The sequence below is a fragment of the Homo sapiens genome, chromosome 5 (assembly GCF_000001405.40).
Source record: "Homo sapiens chromosome 5, GRCh38.p14 Primary Assembly".
Classification (NCBI taxonomy): Eukaryota; Metazoa; Chordata; class Mammalia; order Primates; family Hominidae; genus Homo; species Homo sapiens.
Window position 1 is genome coordinate 172354099 of NC_000005.10, and position 20605 is coordinate 172374703.

The window sequence follows — 20605 nt, forward strand, 5'->3', positions numbered from 1 at the left end:
ATTTCCTTCAGAGATTTCTGGGCACCCCCCCTGGCCCTGACCTAGCCCTGGACAGCCCTGTGCAAGCAGCAACAGAACACAGGACAAAGGGTAGATCTCGATCCCTCTGAAACTCCTCAGCGCCACACACTCAGCCTCACCTGCTTCAATCTGTGCTTCGAGTTCACCTTCCTTGACCACCTTATACAGTACTTCCATGCATGGCATTCTCATGCCCCTTATCCCGGTTTATTGCCCCCCACCCATACTAGGAATTACCTTGTAACACGACATGTATTTGGCTTATTTATTGTGTTTCGTTCAGTGTGTGTCTGTTTCCTCTGCTGGAATATGAGCTCCAGGAAGGCAGTTCTTTGTCTGTCTTGTTCATTCCTGTGTCTTCAGCACTGGGCATGGTGCTTGGAATGTTTAGCAAATCAGTCAATATGCAGTAAATGAGCAAGACCTGAAGGCTGGGTGGGAGCCACCTTGCTCACACAGAGGAGGTTAAGCTGTCTGTGGCTCCTTACTAGCTCTTGCAGGTGGAGAGTTCAGGGAGAAGCTGAACTTTGGCAGTGGAGGGTTTCAGGCTGAAATCACTACTGCGGACACGGTGCACAATTTTCATTACCTTGCCGGCAGCTGATCTTCACTTTTTATTAATCATGTTCAAGTCTTTGAATCCAACCATGCTCGAAGCTTCAACTTTCATTCGTGTGACTGGGATGTCTTCTACCACACTCTCTGCGGTCCCCCGACCCCTGAAACTGTGGGACCATCCTTATGGCCTCACCCTCCTCCCTGAGAGCTGCCCCCAGCTGCGTCCCTCCCACAGTAGCCCTGGAGGGCCTGGGCTCGGCAGGGCGGGTTGCTCATCGCTGCACTCTGGCAGGGTGTCCCACAGAGCTAGAACAGCTCCCACCCCCAGTGTTATCTGCTCTGGCAGCTGAAATGGAGAAAAATGGATGTGTGTCTCAAGGGAGCCCAGCAAGGAGAGGAGAGGGCTCTCCTGTTTTGGTTACATTTCCGCCCCTGGTTGAGTGCCTGAGCCAGCTGTGGCCTGGTGTCATGGTTAATATGCTGCTGCAGTCGCTATCTCTTTGGGAAAATACCACATGCCGTCCGCGGCCTGCCCAGCTGGTGCAGAGGGAGGCGGAAAACACACAGGGCGTTTATTTATTTATTGATCTAGCCTGCTGACCTGCTCGGCGGGGGCCGAGCTGACTCAAGCTGCACATATCCTGTGCTCAGCACAGTCCGCCGTTCCCCTCCTTCACGGAAGCTGCAGGCTAGGCTGCTGGGCTGGGAGGGGTGGAGGGAAGAATCCAACCCCAGATGCACAGAAGTTCTGTTTGGTCCAGGTGGGAAAGGGTGCCACCCGGGTCCCAGAAAGAGTGCAGTCAGTTCTCTGAGCCTGGACTCCTGGGGTCCTGCATCCTTCAGCTGAGTTGCATGGATGGATTTTCTTTTCTTTTTTTTTTTTTTTAGACGGATTCTCGCTCTGTCGCCCAGGCTGGAGTGCAGTGGCGCGATCTCCACTCACTGCAAACTCCGCCTCCCGGGTTCACGCCATTCTCCTGCCTCAGCCTCCCGAGTAGCTGGGACTACAGGTGCCCGCCACCACGCCCGGCTAATTTTTTGTATTTTTAGTAGAGACGGGGTTTCACCGTGTTAGCCGGGATGGTCTCGATCTCCTGACCTCGTGATCCGCCCGCCTCGGCCTCCCAACGTGCTGGGACTATAGGTGTGAGCCAGCGCGCCCAGCCATGGATGGATTTTCTATCACCCGAGTCCCTCTCTGGCATCCATGGATTGCTCAGTGATTGCACACACAGCAGAGGGTGGAAGACCCTGTAGACTGCAGGCCTGCGGGGGCTTCCTCCCGAGCGTGCATTTGCCCTTCCTCTGGTGGTGCTACCAGCCTTTGTCCCCATGGCTTAGGTGAGGCCAAGCTCACCACCTCCTGGAGGGAAGGAGTAGGTGTCGGACCCTGGCCTGGCCAAAGTGTTGCAACTCCCGCCCACCGTGACTGGTTTTATGGATGGCAAGTGACCCTACTGGGTCAGCTGGAAACAATCCTAGGACTTGTGTTAAAGGAGAAGCTCTTTCTTTGGTGATGTCCCTTAAAGGTACTTGAAACTGCTGTCATCATGAGAGAATGGTGCCAACAAGCAGAGAGGTGGTGAGAGAGTCCCAGATCCTGATGACAGTTTCAAACCCCCAGATCCAGCTCTGCTTGAAGCTAGCCCTACCCTGGGCTTTTAGTGATATAAGTCAATACACTTCCCCTTTTGCTTAACCCGGTTTACATGGATTTCTTTCCCTTGCAACTCAAATGAGCCTGAATGAAGGAACAGGTCACTGGTTCAGCCTTATAGAAACCCACAGGCATCATTTTTAACCTGAGAAACTTTAAATCCCCAAGGCCAAGAAATACCCAAGGCTCACTCCTCCCAAACCCACATGCCAACAACATACATGTCACACAAGACAGACGACATCACTGTTTCTCACATGCAACAGGCACGGGTGGTCCCAGAGCAGGGAGGCTCATGCAGGTGCAGGGACCTGGGTCCAAACACCAAACGGGGAAGAAAACTCCGAGGTAGGCACCTTGACGCCAGCTGATGGCATACAAGTCCCCCAGAGTCCGGCGGCGGCCCACCGGCCGGGGCAGAGACCAATACCTCCATGAGACTGGATAGGCAGCATGTGGGAGGAAGGGCAGAGGGCAGAGGTGAGAAGAAAGCACCACAATGTGTACAGGCAAAGGTGGCACCAAGCACATGTCCCCATCCAGGAGAGCATTACCTCTGAGTCTAATCCAAGCCCCAGGCATCTTAGGGAGACCAAGTTCCTGAGTATTAACCGTGAACTTGGGTGAAGAGGCTTCTAGTAGACATAATTCCATTCCTAGCATGATTATAAAGAGGTGTTAGGCTGAGGTGGGAGGATCACTTGAGCCCAGGAATTCAAGGCTGCAGTGAGCCGTGTTCATGCCACTGCACTCCAGCCTGAGTAACAGAGTGAGACCCCATCTCAAAAAAAAAAAAAAAAAAAAAAAGGGCCAGGCGCAGTGCTCATGCCTGTAATCCCAGCATTTTGAGAGGCCAAGGTGGGCAGATCACTTGAGGTCAGGAGTTCGAGATCAGCCTGGCCAACATGGCGAAACCCCGTTTCTACTAAAAATACGAAAACTAGCTGGGCGTGGTGGTGCATGCCTGTAATCTCAGCTACTCGAGAGGCTGAGGCAGGAGAATCACTTGAACCCAGGAGGCGGAGGTCGCAGTGAGCCGAGATCATGCCACTGTACTCCAGCCTGGGAGACAGAGCAAGACTCTGTCTCAAAAAAAAAAAAGAAAGTACTACCTGTGGTCGAGGGAAGAAAATAAATGTACAAACTCAGGAAAATGTGGTCTCGCTCCCATCTTCTAGCTGTGTGACCCTGGGCAAGTCTCCCGACCTCTCAGACCCTGTTTCCTCATCTGTAAAATGGGGACAGCAATGAGTGCCTGACAGAGGCGCTCTCACGGTGGTCATCATTCACCGTCTCAAGGGCTCTAGTTTCCATGCACTACATCACGACCCCTTAATCTGAGTTGATTCTGATGGTAACCCTGTGTTACCCCCCACAGTGCCTGGCGGGCCTCACAAACACAGAGCAAACCAACAGATGTTTTACTGAGGGGCGTTAGCTGTAATACAACTGAATGCAAAAACCATATGTCAATGCTTTGCTAACCTTTGGGCACAGAAATTTCCCCCTTCTCCTCATCCTCTTTTCTAATAAAGATATGCTTTATGTGGCTCCATGCTTTCTCTTAACAGTCAACTAAAAGCCAAACAAACTCAACTCTAGGTCAGGTATTGCTGATACAATAATAACTGTTACTGGTCATTTATTGTTCTAGGTTCTTTGCATGTGGATCTCATTTAATTTTTTCAAAAGTCCTATGATATAGATATCATTGTTTCCATTTTTAGATGAGAGGCTGAGGCTTAGAGAGGTTAAATTACTGGCCCAAGGCCACTCAACCAGGAAGTGGTACAGCTGAGATTAAAATTCAGGTGTGTCTGATTCCTAAGCCCCTGCTGATGAGTGAAGTGAACTCACTAACTGCCCTAGTTTTAGGAATGTTTCTAGCGGGGAAAGGGAGTTGGCTGGGACTTAGCATTTCTGGCATGGCAGGAGTCACCATTCAGGACATGCATAGGGAAGGTTCTCTGGGAAACAACGGAAGTGTGTCTGTGGGTGAGTGGAGGGGGACCCCTGGTCAGGACCACTTAAACCCACAGAGAAGGCAGAGGTTTTTAAACAGATGGGGTCAAATGTCTTGCAAATGAGCTGAAGCAGTTCCAGCACCTTGGCCGCCAGAATAATTCGAGGGAGGAATAGTGAACTGTTTTTGGCGATCAGGCTGGGGCCCTCCTGGGGTCCCATGAAAGGGTTAGGGCTCGAGCTCTGGCCAGGCTCACATAGGTTGCTACCAAAGGCCCCTAAGAGAGGGCGGGCTTGCCCCTCAGCTCTAATACCATGGCCTGGTTTCTGGTTCACAGGCCATGGAGCCTCAGCCAGTGAGCTGCTGAGACGCAGAGGCAGAGGCCAAAAGAAGAGATTGGATGAAAAGGCAACCCAGTATAGGCGATGACTGCACAGGTCCTCCCCAGTGAGCAGAGGCTCGAGCTCCTCCCTACCTTCTTCAGGCTGCAGAGAAAACTCATCCTGCACCCCATCCTGGCCTTCGAGGCACGTTGCAGGGACCCAGCCTTGCTCCTCGGCAGTGCTGACGAACCACCAACCTGGGGAAGCAAGAGTGCAGAATGATGTTAGTTGCATCAAGCATGAGGCCGGGGGTCAGAACATAATAATCTATTCAGCCACTGTACCAGTGAATGCACAGGGTAAGGCTAAAGTTACCATTTTATTGGTAGAACACAACTACCAATGTTACCTGCTAACTGCTAAAAGCAGGTCCAGAAACTTGCTCCTGAGCCTGGGACAGGGAAGAGTAAAGTCATCCTAAATGACAACAATAAAGAGGCAGGGCACGGTGGCTCATGCCTGTAATCCCAGCACTTTGGATGGATTGCTTGAGTTCAGGAGTTCAAGACCAGCTTGGACAACATGACAAAACCCTGTCTGTACGAAAAATTTAAAAATTAGCCAGGCATGGTGGTGCATGCTTGTAGTCCCAGCTACTCGGGAGGCTGAGTTGGGAGGATCACCTGAGCCCAGGAGGTCAAGGCTGCAGTGAGCTATGATTGTGCCACTGCACTCCAGCCCGGGCGACAGAGTGAGACCCCCATCTCAAAAAAAAAAAAAAAAAAAAGTATAAAGAACGTTCACCTTCACTAAGATGTGTGATGCACCCATCATTTCACTTGCATTAAATACAATCTTCACATTATCATCCCAACTGCACACATGAGGAAACTGAGGCTCAAAGAGGCAAACCGACTTGTCCAAGTTCACGTGGCTGCGGTAGAGCTGTGACGTGTGCACGGGGCTGTTTGACTGTAAAGGCCTAGATGCAGATTTAGCATCTGCTTCAGAGGCCTCTCACCCCGGCTCAGACATTCCCCAATGAGAAAGGCCTGCATGGGGCCTGTGGGAGGGAGAATAATGACCCCCTCCCCACAAAGATGTCTGTGTTCGAATCCCTCAAACCTGTAAATATATGAAGTTACGTGGCACTAGGGAATTAAGGTTGCTAATCTGCTGACCTTAAAATAGGGAGTTTATCCCAGATTCTCTGGGTGGGCCTAATGTAATCCCAGGGGTCCTTAATATGCAAGAAGGAGGCAGAAGTCATGGGGAGATGTGGCTGTTGAGGAAAGACACAGAGAGGTGCAACATTGCTGGCGCTGAAGAAGGAAGAAAGGGCCATGAGCCAAGGCGGCTTCCAGGATCTGGAAAAGGCAAGGAAACAGATCCTATTCGGAACCTAAAGAAAGCAATGGGGCCCTGTCGATCCCTTGATTTTAGGCCAGTGAGACCATGCTGAACTTCTGACCCACAGACTATTAGATAATAAATATGTGCTGTCGGCCGGGCGTGGTGGCTCATGCATGGTGGGTCTACGATTTTCTAAATATTTGTATTTGTAAATATTTGTATGAAGATAAGGAAACTGTCATAACACAATGATAGCAATGGCAACAGTGATGTGTCAGATACTGTCCCAAGTGCTGCACGTCCACTCCTAGCTTGCTAGATCCTCACCACAGCCTTATGAGGTGTGTATTATTATTGCTGCCATTTTACAGATGGGGAAGCCGAGGCTCAGCAACTCTCTCAAAGTCACAAAGATAGAAAGCAGCAGTGCCAGGATTCAAACCAAGGCGGTCTCTGAGCTCTTAACCATTTTCACTAATGCCTCACACACTGCTGGAGGGAGGATAAATCAAAACAGCCACTGTTTTGGAAGCAGACAAGTTGGTGGTATCTTAAAATTTAAAATATGTGTGTCCTGGCTAGGTACAGTGGCTCACGCCTGCAATCCCAGCAGTTTGGGAGGCTGAGGCGAGTGGATCACCTGAGGTCAGTAGTTCGAGACCAGCCTGACCAATATGGTGAAACCCTGTCTCTACTAAAAATACAAAACTTGACCAGGCATGGTGGCATGTGCCTGTAGTCCCAGCTGCTTGGGAGGCTGAGACAGGAGAATCACTTGAACCCGGGAGGTGGAGGCTGCAGTGAGCCAAGATCGTGCCACTGCATGCCAGCCGGGGCAACAGAGTGAGTCTCCGTCTCCAAAAAAACTAAATAAGTAAAAAAAGATATGTGTATCTTAGGGTCCAGCTGTTTCACTTGTTGGAATCTAACCTAAAGAAACACTGACGTGCACACAGACATGTTCACACTGGAGTACGAATATGAATATATGAACATGGCTCACTCGGGCACTGAATACTACGCAGATGTGAAAAAGTATCAGAGGAGCTAGATAGTAACTAAAAAAAGTTGCAGATCAAAATGTATACAATGACACCATTGGGTTTTTAAAAAACCCACAAAAATACATATATATACATACAAAATATGATGTGTTTGTATATGTACAAGTATATATGTATGAATGAGTACCTGTGTATGTGTGAGTGTATATGTTCACACGTACACACACGCACACATACACACATGTGTATATAACATTTTCAAGAAAGATTCATACCTAATGGATAGAAGGGCTATCTAGGGTTCAGAAAGGGGGTTAGGGTTGAAGCTGGTAGAAAAAATAGATTTTAGTTTCATCATTAATCTTCTAAGAATAATGTATCCACGTATTACTTGGATAAGTACAATATAATTAAAAATAAATGTCATCAGTGTGTTGGCTACTTGAAGATGTACCCACTCACCCTCTCCCTTCTTCTTGCTGCCCTCTGGACATACCAACACTCTTCCTGGCCCCCACACTTCTTCCCAGTCACCCAAGCTTCCTGACTTCCTGCAAGCTGGGGGCCCAGGGCAGTGGGTGCTCCTGTCTTTACGTCCCCATGGTTGTGTCCTAGCCACATCATACAATCTGCACACACTCATTCTCAGGAACTGGAAAGTCACATGGCCTTAGGGGCTGCTGGAGTTGGTTTCGAATTCTGGCTCTGCAGGCTGTTGTGAGATGTGGGGTGAGTGACTGAGTTATTTGGAGTCATGGTTGCATCAGCTGTGAAGCAGGGATGGCAACTCCTATGTTGAGTAACCAAGGAAGTTTGGCTGGCTGGCGCTGGTCTCGTGACTAATGCCACCACCATCCAGATGATGTTAGAAACATCATCTTTCTCCTCTTCTTTGGACCTCAACTCGCCATTGGGCTGTCACAGAGACTGACCCACTAATGATAGGATTAGCTAACGTCACATGTTAGCCACAACAAACCCAGTCGTTTCCACTGCATTTTCCCAGGGAGGATCTGCTTATTTCCTGCTCTTTGCCTTCAATGGGGTGCAATGGCTGCTTTGTAGCTAAGGAAGGCAAACGGGAAGGAAACCCACATTTTTTTGAGCATCTACTGTGTGCTAAGCACAAGTTTAAGCACTCTTTGTATCTTATCTCACTTAATCTTTACAATCACTCTTAAGAGCAGAAGTTTTTATTTTGTAGATAAGAAAACGAACAGTCAGAGAATGAAGGCACTGAACCACTGTGAAATGTGGAATTCTGATGGAAATCCAGGTTAAGTGTCTCAGTCATACCACATTCTGTCCCAGACCCAGCCAGTGTTCATGACCAGTGGTCCCTGTGATGGGCAGGTAGGCTAAGGAGACAGGGAATGCGCCTGTCCCATTAGAGCCCAGAGCAATGGAGCCTTCTCGGAGACTCCCATGGGTAAGCAAAGGCAAATCAACAGAGCACATTTCCAGTGAATGCTGGACTTTGTCTGCCAGTGCTTTAGAACCAGAAGGAATGTTTATAAAATGTCAACGTCAGAACAAATCGGTACCATCTGAGCCAAAAGGATAATGGTGAGTGGTGGCCAGGTGGGATATTCAAGCACAGTGATCAAACAGGGGCCTCTTTCTAGGAGACCCTCAGCAGGATCTATGGGAACTGGCCAGTCTGGACTGGCCATTTCAGTTTCTGAGTTTCCAAATGTTTCATGTCCCAGGGGCTTGGTGGCAGGGTAGTGGGAGAGGGAGATGGTCTAGGTCCCCACCTGACTCATTCTTCTCGATGATGTCCACCACCTGCCCCACGCTGAGGCTGATCTCCGAACTCTCCTGCTTCTGGTAGTTGGCTACCACCACATACTGCTCCAGGACCATGGGGTCCACTGAGGTTTGGTCACCCCCTGTGGATAGGAAACAGACATGACATCTGGCCACCACTCATGCATGAAAGAGCAGGAGTCAGAGCAGTAGGGCGGGTCAAGAGGACGTTCCAAATAAAAAAGCAGCAGTTACAGGACTCATCTCAAGGGTGACTTCATCCATTCATTGTTCTATTCATGTGCTTACTCAACCACCAAAATTGACCAAGTGCTATTTGCAGGCACTGGGGGTTCAGAGTTGATTAAGATATGGTACCTGCTCTGAAGATGTTGACAGCCTAGAGGGAAAGCTCATTCATTCATACTTAGCCATCCCTCCATCCATCTGTCCATCCATCCATCCATCCATCCTCCATTATCCATCCATCCAAACATTCATCTATCTGCCGTCCATTCAACCATCTATCCACTCATGATATATCAAATTAAACACCATCATCCATCAACCATCTCATCACCCATCCAAAATCACTCGCCTATTAATCTATGAAATCACCAGTGATGTTCCAGATACTCTAAAGAGTACAACGGTGAATAAAACAGCTGTGACTCCCAGCCTCAAGTAACTCAATCTAGTCACAGAGAGAGACATGTACATAAGTATATATAATTAATAAGATATAGAATTATGTAAGCGTTAGTTTATGAAAAATTGATGGAAACAACCAGGATGCTGGGACAGAGAATGAAGGGGAAAGACAATGCTACATTTAACGGGGTGGCTGGCAAGACCTCCCTAAGGAGGTGACATAACGCAGGGACCCGAGAGAGGAGGAGGGGTCATGAAGAGAATGGGGGAAGAGCAGCGTAGGCACACTCTGAGATGGGAAAGGACTTGGGGTCTTCGGGACTGGAAGGAGGCTAGGTGAGGAAGTGCATGGAAAGAGTGGTTCTGAGTGAGGTCCCCGAGGCAAGCATGGGTCAGATCAGGCAGGGCCTTTGGGGCTAAGTAAAGAAGTTGGGTTGCTTTTAACCTTGAAGTAGAAAGTCAATTAAGGGCTTTGAGAAAGGAATGACAAGAGTTACATCTTTAAAAAGATAATTCTGGCTGCCATGTGGAGAATGGATCAGAGGTTGGCAAGAAAGAAAGCAGGAGACTAGCTGGTAGACATGAAGATGTCAAGGAAGAGGCGAAGGTGGCCTGAACCAGGGCAGTGGCAGTAGGAGGGAACGAAGTAGAGAGGTGCTCCAGGGAGGCTGTGCCATGGGATTCAGGGTGGACAGCTTCCTGGGAGTCGTGTGGCCCTGGTTAAGCGCTAAGACATATCTGACAAATAAATGAAAAGATAATGCAGAATACAGGTGATTTAAATAGCAAGGACATCTGAGTTCAGAGACCCCAGAGAGAAGCGGGCAGCTGGGTGACTTTTAGAGCAGCAGGCTAAATGTGGGGGAAGGGCAGCCAGACATTTGCGGTCACAGGAGGGCCCTGGTATTCTAAAAGTCCTGATTCAAAATAGTCTTTCCTATTGTTCCTATAAATCATTAAAATATCCAGGAAACCCCACATTTTTGTGTCAAAATACACCCAATTGGCCAGGCGTGGTGGCTCATGTCTGTAATCCCAGCGCTTTGGGAAGCCAAGGAGGGTGGATCACCTGAGGTCAGGAGTTCAAGACCAGCCTGGCCAACATAGCGAAACCCCGTCTCTACTAAAAATACAAAAAGGAGCTGGGCATGCTGGCACGCGCCTGTAGTCCCAGCTACTCAGGAGGCTGAGCCATGAGAATCGCTTGAACCCGGGAGGCAGAGGTTGCAGTGACCTGAGATCGCACCACTGCACTCCAGCCTGGGTGACAGAACAAAACTCCGTCCTCCGCTCCCCGCCCAAAAAAACCAAAAAAACCAAACAAAACCAAAACCACCCAATTGTGGAGCAGTGTGGGACAGCCAGCGCACAGAGCTGACTTTGTGCATCTCTCCCCACTCTGTTGGGTGGTGTCTTGTTGGTAGCTCGAAATTGGCCATGGTGGGAGTATTTACACCACAGAAATTGGCAAATGCTACAAAGCAGGGCTTCTCCACTGGAGAGCTGGTAGTTAAGCATCCACGAGCACACCACTGCACTCCAGCCTCTGCAACCAGAAGCAGCACAGAAGCCCCTTGTTAGAACCATGAGGTCTGGATTTTTGATGTGAAAAAGCAGAATAGGGCATTGTAGCTGGGTGAAGGGTACTGCTTCTTGGCTCTGTGCCCATGCTCTGGCCACTCCCCCTCCCTGCCTGAGGGTAACAGGGAAATGGGAGGGCCTTTGGGCTGGGGACAACCCTGCTGCTTGCACTCTGCATAGAGAAAGCATGAGGAGAACAGAGGAAGAGAGAGCAGGAAAGAAACAGAAGATGCAGGCTGATGGTTCAGAAGATCGGGCAGGAAGCAGCCTCAATGAGGGTCTATCACAGCCTACAGACAGCACAGAAACCATCCCAACACAGCTGCCCTGCAAGCTGGGTACTGCCACCCCCATTTTGTGGGCAGGAACACAGAGGCTCAGAGATGTTAAGTGACTTTCTCTGGATCACACAGCTGGCTATGGACAAAGCTGGACTCTGTCCACTTGACTCCAGGCTCTTCTGGGTGTTGGGGCACGACAGTGAGAAAAGATAAGATGACGGAGGAAGAAGGGTGGTCTGAGGCCTGCGGGCTCTCCTTCCCCGAGGGCCTGGTCAGGCTCAGTCTGACATCTCTGGGTGTCTCAAGGCTTGTCTGCTATTTCCAGCCCTCTCCTCATCCTCCACTTCCCCCGAGGTCAGGTGGCAGGGCCGACTTTTTCTAGACTCAAGATGACAGTTCCCCCAAGCCAGCCCAGCCACGTGAGCAGTGGCCTGAGAGTGGGCTGCTTCACGTCCCCTTCCTGCTGGCCCCATTAACAATGAGCTTCTTGAGGGCAGTGGCCTTGACTGCCTCTGAACCACCTGGCACTTACTAGCTCTTTGAAGGTGCTGTCCAGTGAATGAATGAATGTAGGATGCTGGCTTTTGAAGATTCTTGACTACCTGTGTCCTGGTCACTAGACTCACTCTTCTCTGAATCCAATCCAGCATCTACCCCAGGATACAGCCTGCCCGAGGGCTCAAAACCCCAGGATTGCAGTTTCCCTTCTGTCTGGGCCCTCAGGTGAGCTGGACCAGGTAAGTGTGTTTCCCTGTGCCTCAGCTTGACAGAAAGAACTGGAAAGGAAAGAGAAAAAGCACCCACTTCACAGCCAGGTTGGTGCCTGCACCTGCTGCCCAGGTTAATGCTCAAAGAGACATGCCCACGTCTTCCAGGCAGGCAGTCGTTGGCTGGTGTGGGGTCAGGGAGTGGCTGTGAGGATTTCCTCACAGAGCCGCAGGTTTCACACAGATTTTCTGTGCAGTGCTCCATCACCTGGCTTCACCATGTCCTCATGGAGCCACACCCTCTGCCCCAGGGTCTGAGAGGGGCTTCCCTGGGGCCAGGGGAGGGGAGGGGAGGCAGATCCTGTAACTGGTCTCTGTCCTGCCCCTCCAGTCTGCCCTCCATACAGCAGCCAGAATGCTTGCTCAAAAATGCTACTCTGATCATGCCACTCCCTGCTCAGCACCTGCCATGGGCTCGGCTTGCCTTCTGATCTTGTCTTTTGGCCACTTCATCCCTGGTGCACCTGCAAAGCACAAAGGTGCCTTTGCAGAGGCTATTTTCTCTGCCTGGGATGTCTCAACCTCTCCTTCTTATTTCAGTGGGAACCACCTATTCTTAGCCTCCTAACTGGTCCCTGGTACCAGCCTTGACCCTGCAATTTATTTATTTATTTATTTTATTTTATTTTATTTATTTATTTTTTTGAGACGAAGTCTTGCTCTGTTGCCAGGCTGAAGTGCAGCGGTGCAATCTCGGCTCACTGCACTCTCTGCCTCCCGGGTGCAAGTGATTCTCCTGCCTCAGCCTCCTGAGTAGCTGGGACTACAGGCACATGCCACCACACCTGGCTAATTTTTTTGTATTTTAGTAGAGATGGGGTTTCACCATGTTGGCAAGGGTGGTCTTGATCTCCTGACCTGGAGATCTGCCCGCTGTGGCCTCCCAAAGTGCTGGGATTATAGGTGTGAGCCATCGTGCCCGGCCATTTTTTTTTTTTTTTTTTTTTGGGGACAGAGTCTTGCCCCATCGCCCAGGCTGGAGTACAGTGGCACGATCTCAGCTCACTGCAACCTCTGCCCCCAGGGCTCAGGCGATTCTCTCGCCTCAGCCTCCCGAGTAACTGGGACTACAGGCATGCACCACCACACACAGCTAATTTTCGTATTTTTAGTAGAGATGGGGTCTCACCCATGTTGGCCAGGCTGGTCTCGAACTCTTGACCTCAAGTGATCCGCCTGCCTCGGCCTCCCAAAGTGCTGGGATTACAGGCTTGAGCCACTGCGCCCGGCTGCCATCTGTTTTCAATATAGCAGCTAGAGTGATCCTTTTAAAAGATGTGTCAGAACATGTTTCTCAAAGGTGAAGTCCCTGTGATGGTCCTTACCTCACTTGTGAAAACCCTCTGTGGCCTACAGGGCCCTGTCTAATCCCCCTCTCATCAGTTTTTTTTTTTTTTTTCAAATAGATTTGGGGTTTCACCATGTTGCCCGGACTGGTCTTGAACTCCTGGGCTCAACCAATCCACTTGCCTCAGCCTCCCAAAGTGCTGGGATTACAGTTGTGAGCCACTGCGCCTGGCCTTTTGATACCTTATTAGACCTTATCTCCTTCACTCTCCCCAATGTGGCGCAGATGGTTACTTATCCCCCATCCTCTATTTCTTCTATAGTAATAGAATTCCTGAGTTTTGGCAGGGCACAGGGCCACTTGGAATAAGACTCCTTTATAGTTGGGAGTGGTCATGTAACGAAGCCCCAGACAATGGGATATAAGTGTGGAATTGTGCACATGTGCTTGGTAAGAGTCCTTACAGGAGGTAACTGGCTCTGCATCACCCTTTCCTCATTACTACTGGTTGAAATGTCAATGTGATGGCTGGTGCTGCAGCAGCCATCTTGGGTCATAAGCAACCTTGGGAATGCTGGTGTTGCATGGCAGAGCAGCAAGATGGGGGCCTGGGTCCCTGCTACCATTGAACAATCTATCACTCCTGGACTATCTTTGGGATTTGAACTAAGAAGAAAAAAGTTCAATTGTTTAAGTCACAATTATTTTGGATTTTCTGCTACTTGCAGTCAAACCTAATTCACTTATATCTTTGGTTGCTAGGCTCTGACCAGTAGCATCCTTGCCAGTCCTTCTCATGCAAAGCCTGTTTCTACTGCAGGGAATTTTGCATTTGCTGTTCCCTCTGCTAGGGACAGTCTTCTCCAGATATGTGCATAGCCTTTGCTCTCCTTTCCTTCAGGTTCCTGCTCAAGTGGCATCTTATCAATGAGACCTTCCCTGCCTGCCTTGCACTGCCTCATTCAGTTTTATTTCTTCCACAGTGCTTTCAAAAACTGTCATAGGTTCTGTATATTTACTTGTCTCCTTGTTTACTTTTCTACTCTAGAATAGAAGTGCCACAAGGGCAGGGACAGTCTCTTGTTCACTGCTATATTCATACTGCCTAACGGCTCGTAGGCCTGTGATATGTTTTGGTGCAAGGGGAGCTAAGAATGCTTATATATATATATATTATATATATATATAAAATATATATATATTATATATATATATATAAAATATATATATATTATATATATATATAAAATATATATATATTATATATATATAAAATATGTTATATATATATATAAAATATGTTATATATATAATATATATGTTATATATATATATAATATATATGTTATATATATAAAATATATATATTATATATATATAAAATATATATGTTATATATATAAAATATATATATATTATATATATATAAAATATATATTTAATATATGTAATATATATATATTTAATATATAATATACATATATATTTAATATATAATACACATATATAATATGTATATTAAATATATAAAATACATTTTTATAATACATAATATATAGTATATATATATGTTTTTAAATATATAATATAAAAAAAAATATATATATATATATTTTTGAGACGGAGTTTTGCTCTTGTTGCCCAGGCTGGAGTACAATGGTGCAATCTCGGTTCACTGCAACCACTGCCTCCTGGGTTCAAGCAATTCTCCTGCCTCAGCCTCCTGAGTAGGTGGGATTACAGGCATGCACCACCATGCCTGGCTAATTTTTGTATTTTTAGTAGAGACAGGGTTTCGCCATGCTTGCCAGGCTGGTCTCGAACTCCTGACCTCAGGTGATCTGCCCACCTTGGCCTCCCAAACTGCTGGGATTACAGGTGTAAACCACCACGCCTGGTTGAATGTTTTTATGTATTTTTTTTGTTTTGTTTTGTTTTGTTTGTTTTGTTTTTTTTTTAAATATTTTTTAAGAGCTGTAAAGAAGGAGAAGAGGAATGAGAAAATGAGAAAGAATTATTATTATTATTGGTGGTAGTAGTGATAGAGACTGTATGTGGCCTATAAAGGCTAACATATTCACTGTCTGACCCTTTAGAGAAAGTTTGTCAACCCCTGGCCTAGAACATGGGTGGCTTCTTACTAGGGCTCAGTAAGTGTCTGAATGAAGGAAGGAACAGTTTAAAACTCAGCTTTGCCGGGCGCAGTGGCTCACGCCTGTAATCCCAGCACTTTGGGAGGCCGAGGTGGGCGGATCATGAGGTCAGGAGTTTGAGACCAGCCTGGCCAACATAATGAAATCCCGTCTGTACTAAACATGCAAAAATTAGCCAGGCATGGTGGTGTGTGCCTGTAGTCCCAGCTACTCGGGAGGCTGAGGCAGAAGAATTGCTTGAACCCGGGAGGTGGAGGTTGCAGTGAGCCGAGATCGCACCACTGAACTCCAGCTTGGGCAACAGAGTGAGACTTCATCTCAAAAAACAAACAAACTAACAAAAAAACCCCAACCCCTCCCCACCCCGCCCCAGCTTTAATGACTTCCTATCTCAGGGAGCATTCAAATGCCTTCCTTCACATTTCGTTTTGTTTATACAGGTCTCTTTGCTACCAGACTGTGAGAATGGTTTCCACCTGGGGACCCAGAGCACTACCAGGTACAGATAGTTACTCATTTAGTATTTATTAAGCACCTAGTAGGTGTTTAAATAAATTATAAATTAATTATACATTAAATAAATATTGAATGAATAACTGTACCTGTCTTGTTCATTCAGCATCCAGCACAGGTGTACAACAGACATTTGTGGGATGAATGAACACAGGATAAATGAAGACTTCTAGAAACCCTTCCTCCTCTACACAAGGCTCCAGGCATCCTTATAAATTTATAATCTTATAAATTAAAGATGACTCCTTCTTGACTATAAGTAGAAAGAAGGCTTCAGTTAAGTGAAGATCCAGTTAAGTCAGGTTTACTCTGTCCAAGAAGCTCAACTTTTGCCACCCAGTTTTAACACCTGATGGTGGCACAGTTGCACCACATACAATTTTCAGGACTCTGATGAATGCGCTGGGCGTTTCTGCACTAACCCTCCTAACCAGTGTGCCAATGGGATTTGGCAAAACTATGAGCAGTGACAGAATGACAGAACCAAGGAATCATGAGATTTGCTATAAGCAAGACAGAGAGCCAGGAAATGAGGAGGGGAGAGCGCTCTGGGCTGTGACTCTGGGTTGGCTGGAGCACACCCCGGAGTGGCACAGGGCTCAGGGCTGGCACTTCCTCCAAGACTTGCTCTGGGGCCAGGTCCAAGACTACAATCTCCTTGCTGTTTTTCCATGGCAGTAGCTTAGACTGTAGTTCTCTGCCATGAAGTGGTTCAGAGAATGCATGGAGTTGCTTTTTCAGCACCAGTTCTTTCAGAGCAAGTTGCTTCATTTCACTCAGAGCACTCAACTTATTGAAACTGATGAAAAAAGGTTCATTCATTTGATCTACCAGGAGTCTCCACTTAGGCTTCAGGACGTTTAGTTGTTAAGTGAAGACACCTACTGGTGGAGCGTGATATTGCAGCCAAGCTCTATAATGCCATAATAATTGCAATCTCTAAATGTTGCGGCAGGCAACTAAAGCTAAATTCTAGGAGTTGCCAAGTGTGAAATCAAAGGATTCCTAGGCAAGGATTATCACTTTTGTGGCCCAGCAGGAAATATGAGAGAAGAGGGGATGAGAAAGAGGAAAGTCTGACATTGGAAGGGTGATTTTTATTATCAAGTGTTATAAAATACTCTCAAGAGGTACAGTGCCTTATCTACCACAGAAGTTTTCTGTTTGGGCATATTTTTTCTTCATGATGACATGTCTTGAATTTTTAAGATGAAGGGTAAAGGGGATTTTCCTTCCAAAAATTCACTATACTGTCAATCTTGCTGAAAGAGTCAGTAAACAAAGAATGCTTTTAAGTAAAGGTTAGAAAAATCAGGAAGAAATATGTTCCTCAAATAATTGCATGATCTCTTGACTTTTAGTGAGAAGATTCATTTTCTGCAGGATGAGCAGAATTTGAGACCACATTAGCCAAAGTCTGTAGGAGCCAGCCAGCCAGCCATGACTGGGAAACGCCAGAGGCAGATAAGCCTTCTCCAAAGCAGAGTTTTGGTGTAGAAATCTCAGGAGTTAGTCTGTCAATGTTAGATCCCTTCAAAATTCAATCCAAAAGGCTTATTCTAAAATAAAGGAAGTGTTCAAAGGTCACATAAGATATAAGGCTAATCCCAGCTTGGATTCTTAGTTTGAATGAAGAAAGATGCTATTTTCCAACCAGTTGAACTATAAATAAATCCATCCCCATCATTTCAGGTGAATGACGTAACAGCAGTCACCACAAATTAGAGCTTTTTCTCCCTTTTCCAGACAAATCCCCTCATCAAGCCCGTTCCGACTGGACATTTGTGTTTGTCACAAACCAGAGCTGTCTCTTTCCTCTCTTCTCTACCCTCCCACACCCATTCCTTCTAGGGAAAGTCTCTGCATACTCGAAACCAGAAACTCTGCCAGCCCAAGAGTGGCAGCTCCTCTTCTCTCTGCTCTTTTCTGAGAAACATATAATTATCCCCGGGGCTCGGGAACTATTTGCAGCTTTAGCAGGATGCCATGGCTCTGGCCAGTACCTATTAAACTAGAAAGAGGAGCTATAAATGGACTGGTTGGGAAAAGGCTGAAGTTAATTCTCGACGCCATTCCCTGAGGCAGAGAGAATGACTGTGGGGCCTGTGAAGTTGACCACAGGGCCCGTACCCAGGGGCAGCAAAGGTACTGGAGCTTTTGAATTTGGAATTTCTACTTGATATGGTTTGGATCTGCGTCCCCACCCAAATCTCATGTCGAACTGTAATCCCCAATGTTGGAGGTGGGGGCTGGTGGGAGGTGATTGGATCATGGGGGTGGGTCCTTCATGAATGGTTCAGCTCCATCCCTTTGGTGCTGTCTCGAGATGGAGTTCTCAGGAGATCTGGTTGTTTAAAAGTGTGTAGCACTGCCCCTCTCTCTCTTGGTCCTGCTCCTGCCATATAAAAACTGCTTGCTCCACCTTTGCCTTCCATCATGATGGAAAGCTCCCGGAGGCCTCCCCAGAAGCTGAGCAGAAGCCACTGTGCTTCCCGTACAGCCTGCAGAACGATGAGCCAATGAAACCTCTTTTCTTTATAAATTATCCAGTCACAGGTATTTCTTTACAGAAGTGTGAGAATGAACTAATATACTACTGCTGGTCAGGGGCACCCATGTATTTTAAGTAACAGTAGTAGTAATAAAAACGGCATCAAGCATACATTACTGACAATGTGCCAGGCACTATTCTAGGTGCCTTACAAATATGATTATAAATCCTATAATAATCCCACAAGGCAGATTGCTATATCAACCCCAGTTTACAGATAAGGAAACTGAGGCCCATGAGAGGGGGTATCCTTTTTCACTTCTAGGATCTCTGTTCGCACCCCTGATCCTCATCAACCCCTTCAAACCTCCTGGCACCCTAGGAAATTAAAGAGCGCTGGATTCTGGAAGTTCCGAAGTCCACATTGGCTCCAGGTAAGGTATGGGCCGGGGCCTTTGCAGATGTGGAGGATGATCTTGGGTGGCAGGAAGAAAAAGTTGGGCCACTGTTTATATAAATGTATAAACCCCAGGGGAGAGCTCAATTATTCCTCTGTGCATACGCAATTTCCCACCTTCTCTTTCTCCATAATTGCTTCTGAGAGAAGAGTTGTGTCATCCAGGAAATGGAAAGCTTATTAGGAGGGAATATAATGTATTTTAGGGAGAATGGCAATAGGGACGGGAGTCGCTTGACGCTGCATCTGTCATTGCCCAAAAAGGGCTGGGGTCTGGCGCCAAGGATGTCAAATGGACATGGCCCAAATCTACCGCACATTCCTGCTTCCCAGCCTGTGCCTGGCGATCCCCTCAGCCCGGGATGCCCCTCATTCTATGGAAACCTTCTGATCCTTCATCAAGACCCAGGGTCCCTCCTTTCCGATCCCTTATCACACCTGAGAAGAATGCTCTTAGCTCTCAGCTACCATATTGCTCTGTATAAAGTGGAACAAAGGCATTTAACTCCCGATAGCATGGCTAGGAAGAAGTCTGCCTCCCCTTCTCCATGAAGGCATTCTCTGAGAAAGACTCCAAGTCTCAACCACTTGGCAGTTTTTTGGTATATTGGATGAAACAACCTCAAATACTATTTTTGGGAAATGGGATGGGGTATCAACCAATCAATCAAGCATCCATCCATCCATCCATCCATCCATCCATCCATCCATCCCTCCACCAGTTCAGCCACCCCTCCTTCCCTTCCCTCCCTCCTGCCAACCATCCACCCATCCACATCACTGTATCCTCAGCATGGAACCCAGAGCCTGGTGCACAGTTGGTGCTCGGCTGGAGTTTGCCGAAAACTGAACGAAGAGAAGAAAATAGAAAATATTCTTACCAGATTTCTTTTTCCCAATGTGCTCCCTGTACAGGAAAGAAAGGGGGTGGGAAGAGTAACGAGTCAGTACTTGCCATGTATTGACGTGAGTTATTCTGCCGGGAAACTGAGATTCTCCACCCCCCACAACATCATCAGTGAATGAATAAAATCCAGGCCAACTAGAGGAACCCTGACTTCTTCAAAGAGAAAGAACTTCTCTTAATTTTCCCCCTTTGCCTGATAAGTGCTCTGGTGCCCTGGGGACCAGTGTCTCCATTTATTTGTAGACTGGAAGCCCTGGGGAGGAGCCGAAGGGGATTGCAGTTTGAAAATAGGAGTTAGGTCCTCACACTGCACTGAGCCTGATGCCTACCTCATCAGGCACAGCAGAGGTCCCTGCCCCATTTCTTGGGGTCCCCTAAGCCATAGACATGGGGCAGAAAGTGCTTGGCAGTAAGTGTACAGGGAACACATTAAAACTGGGCAGAAGTTTGGACAGCAGTGAACACAGTGCACCTCCCAAGTGGTGAGAGGGGACACTACTATGGGCTAGAATTCACAGGGAATAATGAATAGTGAGTCCCTTACCGTCGTCACCCGTGTCAGAGTTTATAAATGCAACTGTATCGGCCAGGCATGGTGCTTCACGCCTGTAATCCCAGCACTTTGGGAGGCTGAGGCGGGTGGATCACCTGAGGTCAGGAGTTTGAGACCAGCCTGGCCAACATGGTGAAATCCCATCTCTACTAAAAATACAAAAATTAGCTGGGCATGATGGCACATGCCTGTGGTCCCAGCTACTCGGGAAGCTGAGACAGGAGAATCAATTGAACCTGGGAGGTGGAGGTGCAGTGAGCCGAGATCGTGCCACTGCACTCTAGCCTGGGTGACAGAGCAAGACTCCATCTTGGTGGGGGGAGTGGGGAAAGCAA

At 47.6% G+C, this 20605-nt stretch overlaps 1 protein-coding gene across 3 annotated transcripts in view, besides 3 other annotated features; it reads right to left on the reverse strand.

Annotated features, from left to right (window-relative positions):
- Positions 1 to 20605, reverse strand: part of SH3PXD2B (SH3 and PX domains 2B) — a 129345-nt gene that overhangs the window by 28918 nt on the left and 79822 nt on the right. For 2 of the 3 annotated variants that reach the window (NM_001308175.2, NM_001017995.3), the window contains exons 6-8: positions 19692 to 19717; positions 8637 to 8771; positions 4675 to 4779 (exon numbers count right to left, since the gene is read on the reverse strand). In NM_001308175.2, coding sequence (NP_001295104.1) covers positions 4675 to 4779; positions 8637 to 8771; positions 19692 to 19717 — 266 coding nt within the window. Of the gene's footprint in view, positions 1 to 2592; positions 2677 to 4674; positions 4780 to 8636; positions 8772 to 19691; positions 19718 to 20605 lie in introns of all 3 variants that reach the window. The other variant, XM_017009351.2, reaches the window with a different exon arrangement.
- Positions 7316 to 8515: an enhancer, noted in NCBI's record as "BRD4-independent group 4 enhancer chr5:171788418-171789617 (GRCh37/hg19 assembly coordinates)". NCBI's record gives its function as "activates an origin of replication core promoter dependent on BRD2, P300/CBP, MED14 and CDK7 cofactors, and independent of BRD4, by STARR-seq in HCT116 cells {active_cell/tissue: HCT116}" and the evidence as "EXISTENCE:reporter gene assay evidence [ECO:0000049][PMID:35650434]".
- Positions 7502 to 7731: an enhancer, noted in NCBI's record as "active region_23635". NCBI's record gives its function as "activates an Ori minimal core promoter by ATAC-STARR-seq in GM12878 lymphoblastoid cells {active_cell/tissue: GM12878}" and the evidence as "EXISTENCE:reporter gene assay evidence [ECO:0000049][PMID:35858748]".
- Positions 13112 to 13401: an enhancer, noted in NCBI's record as "active region_23636". NCBI's record gives its function as "activates an Ori minimal core promoter by ATAC-STARR-seq in GM12878 lymphoblastoid cells {active_cell/tissue: GM12878}" and the evidence as "EXISTENCE:reporter gene assay evidence [ECO:0000049][PMID:35858748]".